This window comes from Homo sapiens, chromosome 9 (assembly GCF_000001405.40).
Source record: "Homo sapiens chromosome 9, GRCh38.p14 Primary Assembly".
Lineage (NCBI taxonomy): Eukaryota > Metazoa > Chordata > Mammalia > Primates > Hominidae > Homo > Homo sapiens.
Window position 1 is genome coordinate 12,593,893 of NC_000009.12, and position 10,067 is coordinate 12,603,959.

A 10,067-nucleotide genomic window follows, 5' to 3' on the forward strand; every position below is an offset into this window, starting at 1 on the left:
GCCACATTCACAACAAGACATTAGAGCGCAATAGATGAAGGCATTTTCTGCAACTAAAATGAATTGCTGTATATTTCTTTTAAGTCTTGTCCTCTGTAAATCGTGTAAGTTGAATATTTCCTCTAACTCAAAATCACGCTTTTACTCTGACAAATTGCCTTGCAGGTGATTTCTTCATTTCATGAATAATTATTTCATCCCTGATTTTATTGTTACCTAAGTAGGGCAGAGCTTGCTTTATTTTGTTTTTCTTTCTCAAAGGAATAAAGGAATATCATTCCTTTCTCAAAGGAATGAAACACTATAATTTGTGCTCTTTATTAGCAAAATATGACCTTACATTTTGTAATAGTTGAAAGGTAAGCTATGCTCACGGTGGGATTGAGGGTCAAGGAGTACAGAATCTTTAAAGATTTAGTATTTTAATGGGAAGAGAATTAGTCTATAAACCTGAAATCGAAAATTTATTCAGAATACATTTGCATCTGTTCCCTAAGACTGCATTTCTCACTGTGATCTTTTCTCATTCTGATCTCTTTTAGATAAAAAATGTGTTCTAATTTAATGGCAGTGACAGAGGAAATTAAATGAAGAAAAATATGTAAATTGTTGCTTAGAGTCTAATGGGACCTTAACATTTAGGGCACATTGAGTAAAGTGTTCTTCTTTGGACCCCAGAACACTATGCTATAAGAAAAATATATCTGTATTCTGAGTCTGCACCCAGGCAAGATTTTTGGAAGAGCCTTAATGCATGTATCTTTTAGAAATGTGCTCAGCAAAGAAAAATCTCACCAAGGCCTTAAATAAATAAAGAGTGGATTTGTCTTACTCAGAAAAATGTTCAAGAGTAGGCCATCCAAGGTGTGTATGAAAGGTTAGTAATGTTATTAAGGGTCTTGGTTTTTATCAGGATCTACCTATGATTTTGGCTCTACCATATGTAATGTGTAGTACCCTATCCACGAATATTGCTTTCATCATGAGTTGGATGCTGCACCTCTAGGTGTTATATCCATGTTCCAAGAAATAAGATGATAAAGGGGAGAAAGATCACAGGATGCCTACAGTAGAGTCTGTTGCTTTAAAAAGGTTTTATAGAAGCATCACCAAATGACTTTCTTATGAATCTTAATGATCCTAATATATACATGTGTATGTGTGTGTATATATATGTATATATATATATATATATATATATATATATATATATATATAGTATTTTTTCACATGATTATGAGATGGCTCATGTGATTACAGAAGCTGAGACATTCCATGATCTTCCATCTGCATATTGGAGACCCAGGAAAACCAGTGGTGTAGTCCATAGTCTAAAAGTAAGGCCTAGAGAGCCAGTGGTATAGATGACAAGTTGAGTCTGAAGACCTGAGAACTAGGAGCACCAATGGCAGAAAATCTATGTCCCAGCACAAGCAGTCAGGCAAAGGGAGGGCGAATCTAATCTTATTCCACCTTTTTATTCTATTCAGGCCTTGAAGGAATTGGTTGATGCCCACTCACATCAGGGAAGGTCACCTGCTTTACTCAGCCCGATAATCTAAATGCTAATCTTTTTCAGAAACACTCTCACAGACATACCCAAAAATAATGTTTAATTAGATACCTGAGCATCCCATGGCTCAGTCAGGTTGACACACCAAATTAATCATCACACCCTATCTGAGTCACACAGGAGAGATAAGTTATTTATCGACCCAGATTCTGTCATAGAAGAAGGCATGATAAAAGGGATAGCTTTTTAGTAGATTTTTTAGCAGATTGAAATGGCAACCATTTATTATTACTCATGGATTGGGTCAGTAAGCAGCTGTTTTGCTGATCGGGGCCAGGTTCAGCTTATCTCAGCTAGACTTGCTCACATGTTTAGGGCCTCAGCTCTGCTCCATATGGTCTCTCATTCTCCAGTAAGCTAGCCTGGACTTGTTTTCATGGCTGCTGCAGAGCAGGTTAAAAGAGAGAGAGAGATAGAAGAAACACAAGATAACCTCTTGAGACCTAGGCTTGGACTTGGTACATCCCTCCTTGTGCCATACACTATAGGCTATGGCAAGTTCCAAGGCCACCTAACATTCAAGAAGTGGAAAAATACAGTAATATTCGCATCTTGAAAGAAGGAATTGCAAAATTACATTGCAGAGTGTGGTTCACTTTTGCAATCCGTCACAATATGGACTGAGCTTCCCAACGGGGGGATCTAGTCCCAGCTGTGTCACAAACTCATAAAATAACCTCAACTAGTTCATCAAAAGTCTCTGCCCAGTTTCACTGCTAGTCCAATGAAAATGATAACCCCTATTTTACCTTTCTCATAAACTAGATTTGAATAAATCATATGTAGGAGAGTAACTTTAAAAGCAAAAAAAGAGGTACTGAACTGTTGTAAGAGTTAACTTGCATTAAATTTTGCTAGAGCAAGAGGCATGTTGCATATGTTCCTGATTACCTAGAGAAATGTTTTAAAAAATGAAAAAAATCCCGACGCCATTATATCTCTTCCCCACATTTAAGTAGCATATACTTCTGTGAAAGTGTTTCTATTAAAATAAACAGAAATAAGTAAGTCTAATGGCTTTTCAAATTTTGTATGCTATAGAATCACCTGGAAGTCTCATTAAAACACAGTTTGTTGGGCCTCACAGTTTCTGATTCAGAAGGTCCAAATTAATCAGGGTTTTCGGATTGAAAATATGCCTTTCTAAAAAGTTCCCAGATATTGCTAATGCTGCTATTCTGGGCCACAATTTGAGAACCAATAACAGGCCTGTTTCCTTCAGACTACACATACATGTCTCCTTAGGATGATTCTCATTCTCACTCAAATACCCAGGTTAACAAAGACTCCACTACTAGTATCTGGTAGAAAGAAAGAAAGATGGGGACTTGCACACCAGCTTTTACATGCTTAGGACTGAGAGTAGAATATGATATTTCTGCTCATGTATCATTAGCAAAAGCAAGTTGTGAAGCCATATTTAATTATGAAGAACTAGAGAAATAGAATCCTACTTTTCTTAAGAAGAGAACCTTAAATATTTAGAGAAAAGCATTAATATCTACTGAAAAATTCAGGAGTACTATGTAGCTAAATGGTAATGGAATGGAGGTACAGGAAAAATATTATCTCAAGATGTAGAATTTGTCTTACTTGGAGAATGAGTCACTGATAAAAATAAAGCAGGCAGAAGTTGCTTTTAGTAGGAAGATGATAAATTCAATTAAGATATTCTCAGTTTGAAGCAACATCTGTAACTAAGTGGAAACATTCAACATTTTCTGGGACTTACAGCCCTGCAGAGGTTAGGAATGGAGATGTGGACTTAAGTGTCATTGGGATTGAAGATATAGTTTAAGCAATAACAATGGATAAAGTCTCTGAATATGAGAATATTAAAATATAAGTACAGAGAGAGCCGAGGACTAAATTTTGGTGGTTTCTCACAACTAGGAAAATTAGAAGGGGAATAAGAACCAATAAGAAAGTCCAAAAATAAAAAACTAGAGAGATTCTATAGAACCCAAGTATGAAAAGGGTTTCAGGAAAGAAGAGGAAAAGTGTTAACTTACTAGATGCAAAAATGTCCAAGGAGACTAATAACTGGGAAACAATCCTTAAATTTGTCAATTAGTTAATAACTAGTGACCATTGATAGAAGTTTCAGTAGATTATTAGAATTAAAAGATCAGCATACCACAAGTTAAGAGATTGGGAAAAAGGTATATTCTTCAAAGAGAAACTAATTTTTTTATACCTAGGAAAGTTCACAGACACAGTAAACATTACCCTGCATGAGGAGGAATTGTAAAAATTAACAAATGTGTGAAAAGTTTCAAGGTATGATTGACTTTATTATTCCCAAGTTTCTAAATGCCAGTGGCCACAAAAGCACCAAAATTTTATAACTGTAAAGTAGCACATAACGTCATTATTAAGTAGGAAGTGGTTATGTTCTTCACTTTCAGAAAGTAAAATAGAAAATATACCAATAACTCATATAGTTAGTTTACTTAATAACACACACACACACACACATACACCCTCAAAGTGGTAGCAAAATAAGAAATGGAGCCATGGGTCTTTGAATCTCACTCTAATACTTTACTAGATTATCTTACCTTACCTTAACTTGCATTATACTATGTTCATCAGTTACTTTTTGTTGTGTAACAAAAACAACCACAAAAATGTCAGTGTGTTATAACAAACATTGATTTCTCACTCTCACACCTGTGGATTGGTTAACAATCCACTCATTTAGGCTGGGCTTAGTTGGGCTTGATTCCAAGTGAAGGGTGCTGTACAGGTTTGCTTCACCTGCTTTTTGTTCTCCTTAGGCAGGTGCCATGTTTTTGGTAGTGACATAAGAAGCATAAAACAGCAAACACAAATGCACAAGCACATTTCAAGCACCTACCTCTGTTATGTTCACCATCATTCTATTCGCCAAAGCAAGCACATGATCAAATCCACCCTCTATGTGGTAGGGAAGTAGTATCTGCTGCTAGTGGGACGTTTTAAAGAGATATTTCAGAGAAGAGGGATGGTGGTGTGCTGGAGCCAGCTTGCTCCAACTCATAAAAGCTAATCTCCTCTCAACTCTGCATTCAGGGATATCATATGGATAATCTGAAATTGGCCATGTTATTATTATTTACACCATGCAAATCAACAAATGCTACAAATTAAGGGGGTTGTTTATGTGTTTGTTTTTTAGAGCCAGTTGACAAACATTTGCCAGCACACTTCTAGGAATAAGTACAGTGAAGAGTAAAAAATTGGGAACATTAATACTATTCATTGATATTTTAGTATTACACATACTCTATACTTTTATTTATTAATTTATTCTACTTTATTGAGTGGTTACTATGTTATCAGGTAGTAAATACTGTGTTAGCAGGGTGTGAGGATACAGTGATGAGTAAGACTTTAGTTCCATTCTTATGTTTTTTCACTGAGAATAGTGGAAGAACTATATACACACACACATACACACACATTCATACACACACATTCACACACACATTGCCAAGTTATTTTAAGTGCAATGATAAGCAAAATGTACAACACAGTACATGATCCTAGAGGAAAGAAAATTATATTTTTCTACTAAATCCTCAAAATGCTACGAACAGAGTAAGATTTGAAGCCAAACATAGGTCTAAAACATTGGAAGCTCAGAATGTACTGGAAGAGATACCTTGGCATTCCTGTATGCAGGTCTCCATGTAACCGTGACCCTTTGCAGCAATTTTAATCATCAGTGGCTTTATCCAGTATCTCAATAGCACTAACAGCATGGCTAACAAGAAAATAGCAAGGAATGCTATTTTAATTAGCCTTTATTAAAATAAGCTATTAAATGAATCCAACTGGATTGGTTTTGTTGCATTATTGTTGTGCTGTTTTATCATAAAATATTTCTGCGATTTTTGTTAGATTCAATCAGCTTTAAAAGGATTCTACCTATATATGGTTTTCCCATGTTATGGCTTCCCTACTTAACAGCTGTGTAAATTATTTTCAAAGCTGTACAAGAAAATCAGCAAGGGCAGAAGTGCATTTTGCTTCTTGCTTTAAGACATCCAGTTATGAGCCAGTTATTTAGGAACTTCAATTTGTCAGGTTTGACAACATTGTAATTGATTGCAATAATAAAGCCCTTACCAAAAGCTCAATTACTTTCAGGAAATTTGCCTTGTTTTCTTAAGTGTTTTGCAAGTATGATAAGTAGGTTGTGGCGCTTTTCTTGACATAAGTGCATAAGAGATATATGATCTCCCTTAGTGCACATAGTGACAAAAGATCAAGCTGTTGGGCTGCAGGCTACAACAAATTGAACCCATTGAATTTCAGCTGTGATCTAATGCAGTGTTAGGTTTGTTTCAGTCCATTCAAGTGATACCTTTCCATGCAAGTGCCATAACTGTATCCACAAAACTGATCAATGGAGGAGTGATGTTTCATTATTTAAGTAGGTATTTATTGTTTAAATGGGATAAGCCTTTATTTATTTGCATTACAAATTACTAGGTGGGATTTAAATGATAAATCTCCAGCTCGAACCACTTTATAAGAGATCTATAACAAAACTTTATAATGCAGTTTCCTATGCTAAACAAAATGGTGTCTAATTTCAATAATTCTAATGAGCCTATTCAAGTCAGACAAATAAATCAATGAGCAAATTACTGTGACATTTATTTGTATTTAGATTTTTCTAAAAATAACAGATATTGGTGCATAATTTTCCTTGAATTTTAGTGGTGTATTTGAAATGATAAAATACTACCAATTGACCTTGAGGGATGGCCTTATAATCTGATGCAAAGTAGCAATTTTCTTGCTTGCAAACAGTTTCATCCGTGAATAGAGGAAATAATTTATTGTATTAACTGCTAATGCTGGATTAAAAACGATAAAAGTTTCATCTGAAACTTCAATAAATCTCTTAAGAGTCTCTCTTAATAGGTAAGGGGGTCTAAGCAGATTGTAAAGGTACAAGATACAAAATATTAGGGAGTATTTTCCATAACTATTTGCTACCTTTAAAAACTGCAATGCTTTGCACCAATAGCGGCTCTAACCTGCCAGTAGCACTCTTACAGGAAGTCACTAAACCTAAAGAATCTCCCTTCTAAGGAAACATTTTATTTTTCTAATTTCAGCTCCTAATTCTTGATTTAAAGAATCATACCTTTTTCTTATGCATATACTTTAAGTCCTAAATGCATCTAATATTTATGACATGTGATAGGAGGAAACTTCATAATCCTGAATCTACCATTCTGATTCACTAAAATAAGCTGTTTCAGAAAAAGTTGAAGTCTCTTTTCTGGAGAATTACAGGAAGGAACAGTGAAATCACTTTTCTAGTGTTTGAAATAGTATTTTTAATTCTGCTACAGCAAGGAGCCAGATAACGCGTTAGTTTCTTTCAAAGTCTGATATGATTTTATGATTCTATAAAATATACAAAATTATCAACAATTAGGCCACCTGAAAAATGTTTGAATCTAATCATCTAGATATGCACTAAAATACTAAAATAATATGCATAATATCAGATAACCTTGATAATTACTTCTTCCATTAAATAAATTTAATCTTTCAAGAAGTCTCCTGTGCTATCTACTTGACTATCGGAAAGGATAGGAGAGTTGGGTAACAATTAATGAAGCAGTGCCCACCTAGTGGAAAGTTCTAGTCATATTTCATAGGGCTTTCTGTTTTAACTTATTAGCTATGACTATTTCCACCCCTTTAATCAATGACTTTGCAGTATATATAAAAACATAAGTGAATGGCATTCACCTGGATGCTACAAATAACATGTAAATAATAAACTCAAGATTCAAAACTAAATAGGCCAAAATATTGGAGAATAATAGGTAAATTAAAACTTTATTAGGAAAAATTAAAATTCATGTGGAAAGAAGCATGAGGAAACTTTCTATGGTAATAATAATGGATTTAAATCTTGATAGGAGTTTGAATAATATTTTGAACTCAAGTTCCTGGTACACATGCTGAGGTATTTATGAGTGTTTGTGAGAGTTTTATGCTGCCATTTTATTTAAAATACATCATAAAATAAGACAATTTTGTGAATGAATAGATGGATGTATAGAAAGATATGTAATAAAGTAAACACAAGCAAATGTTAATTGTAGAATCTAGGTTGTGTACATGTGGTTATTCACTATATAATCTTTTCAATTTTTCATTACGTTTCAAAAGTTTCCTAATATAAGTTTGTGAAAAATTTATATGTTTGGTCTTAAACAATATTGAAGAATTCCTGGAACTTAATAGTATTCTAATAAGTTTGTATGGAATAAATGAATAAATAATTACATGAATAATTGAATGGTTTAAAAAGTAAATATTAAAAATGGAAAAAGTCTTAATGGCAGCTTGTGTGTAAAATATTCTGGGGTTTTAGGTAACCTATTACTTATTTTCCAAGTAATGTACCGAGCCACCAAGGAATCAAACACAATTCCAGATGATAATACAATAAACACAGTGTTCAAATTAAGGGGATAATAGAGCCATTCTGTTCTGGTCAGAGCATATCTAAATTATTGCATCCTCTTCCAGACACTCACCTTTACAAAATTATAACAGAGAAATGACTACCAAGAGGAGAATGACTGGGGAACAGTGAGCTCAAAAATTCAAGCCAGATAGGAAGAAGTTAAATGATGTAGAGATTTTCAAACTGGAGAAGAAAATCCCAGTGAAGAACCTTATAGTGGATACATTCCCACCATTCCCACTCTAACTCTTTTCACGGTTCTCATTTCAGCTCAGTTTTTAACTATTTCAGAATGCATTATATTACAGTCTTAATTTAATTATTTTTAAATAAATATATAATTTATTATTTTGTTTATTTTGCATGTAGTGCCAGGAACCTTATACCAATTGTTGATCTTGGTCTTACTCCTGCATGTGCACATACACACATAGACGCACATGCACACACACACAGAGTCTCAATTTTCAGCAAGAATCTAAGCCTCTTGAGGGAATGAACTGTGTTTTATATATATCTTTGTATTCCTCAAACTCAGCACAATTGTGCCCATTTATTTTATAAACATAGTGAAAAATATTTTTGTGCTAATTACTGCACTGAGATTGGAGCTTAAAAATTTATTTTAACACCTCCCCCTGCTCATAAACAGCTCATAGTCTAAAATTGGAAATGAACATAAAACCCAATAATACAAATCATTGTAATCAGTACAATGACAGGAACATACATAAAATACTATGGAAACCAATATGACAGTTGCATCTAACATCCCGGAGACGAGTAATGGGAGAAGCAGGAGACCTAAGCAAATCTTAAAGGATGCACGGAAATTACCGTTAGTATGAATGTGATGAGAAGAAAAAGAGGAGAAAATCTGTTTTAGAAGACTTCACATTACAGGTAGAGTCATTGCATGAGATAAAACATGAGGGAAGAGTGGTCGTGAAGCAAGGTATGCCAACTCCTTTAGCATACATTTTTGCAAAGAGTATTTGGCTTAGTAATAAAATGTGTTAAACAAATCTTAATCCTTTCATGCAATCAACTGCTCTAAATTAGGATGTCTCATCAACTAGATGGATTTCAGGATCCACCTAAAACTCTCTCCTGTGAAAAATAACCAATTCTAGACATTGCAGCTGGTTATTCGGGGGGGGAAAAGGCATTTTTTGAACCAGAATCTTTATTATGATAAATAAATCTATCAACTGTAGTTGCTGCAACACAAAAGTTATAGCAGTCTCTAATACTATTTACCCAAAGGCAACTTGTCTATTTAGTAATCTGCAAATAGTATGGAAGTTCTTAACATGGGGGTCATGTACTATAGGTTTAAGAGGTCTGAGAACTTTAATAAAAAAATTGCATATTACTAAGCTGTAAGTGAAATTAGCATCTCTTTTCATTTTAAATGTAGGCAACAAACCATAGTAGTCTTAGCAACACATATGAGTGGTTGTCAGTACAAATCCTTTATATTTTTGTGTAATATTGCAGTTAGTGCTGATGCATCAAATACTATATTACTTAAGTCATGCCTTTGAAATTACAGTTAATATTAGAATACCTGCTAGAAACTTGTTAGTTCATTGAGGATAAATAATTATGTTATTGCTATGTCACAAATTTATAAGACTCCTTTAATAACTGTAAGGCATATAACTGGTAAGCTTTAAGATTACATATAAGTCATATTATATGGTTAGCATATTATTCTAAAAAGGGAGCCATAGGCCTAATCAAGACTCCATGTACAAACATAAGAAAATAAAATAACATTTTAATGTTAATTTTAACAAATAATACAAAGAGATTTCAGAGGATTCCTGATTCCCAGTGGGGTCACCTTTTTTCGTTTTGTTTTGTTTTATTGTTTTGTTTTGTTGTTTTTTCTCTACTTCTGGAACTCTTTCTTATTAACCTTTTCATAGGTTATTATATTATGCCATTATGCATTAAATAATGTTTGTTAATATTGTTTATAAAGTTCTTTATCAATGCTAA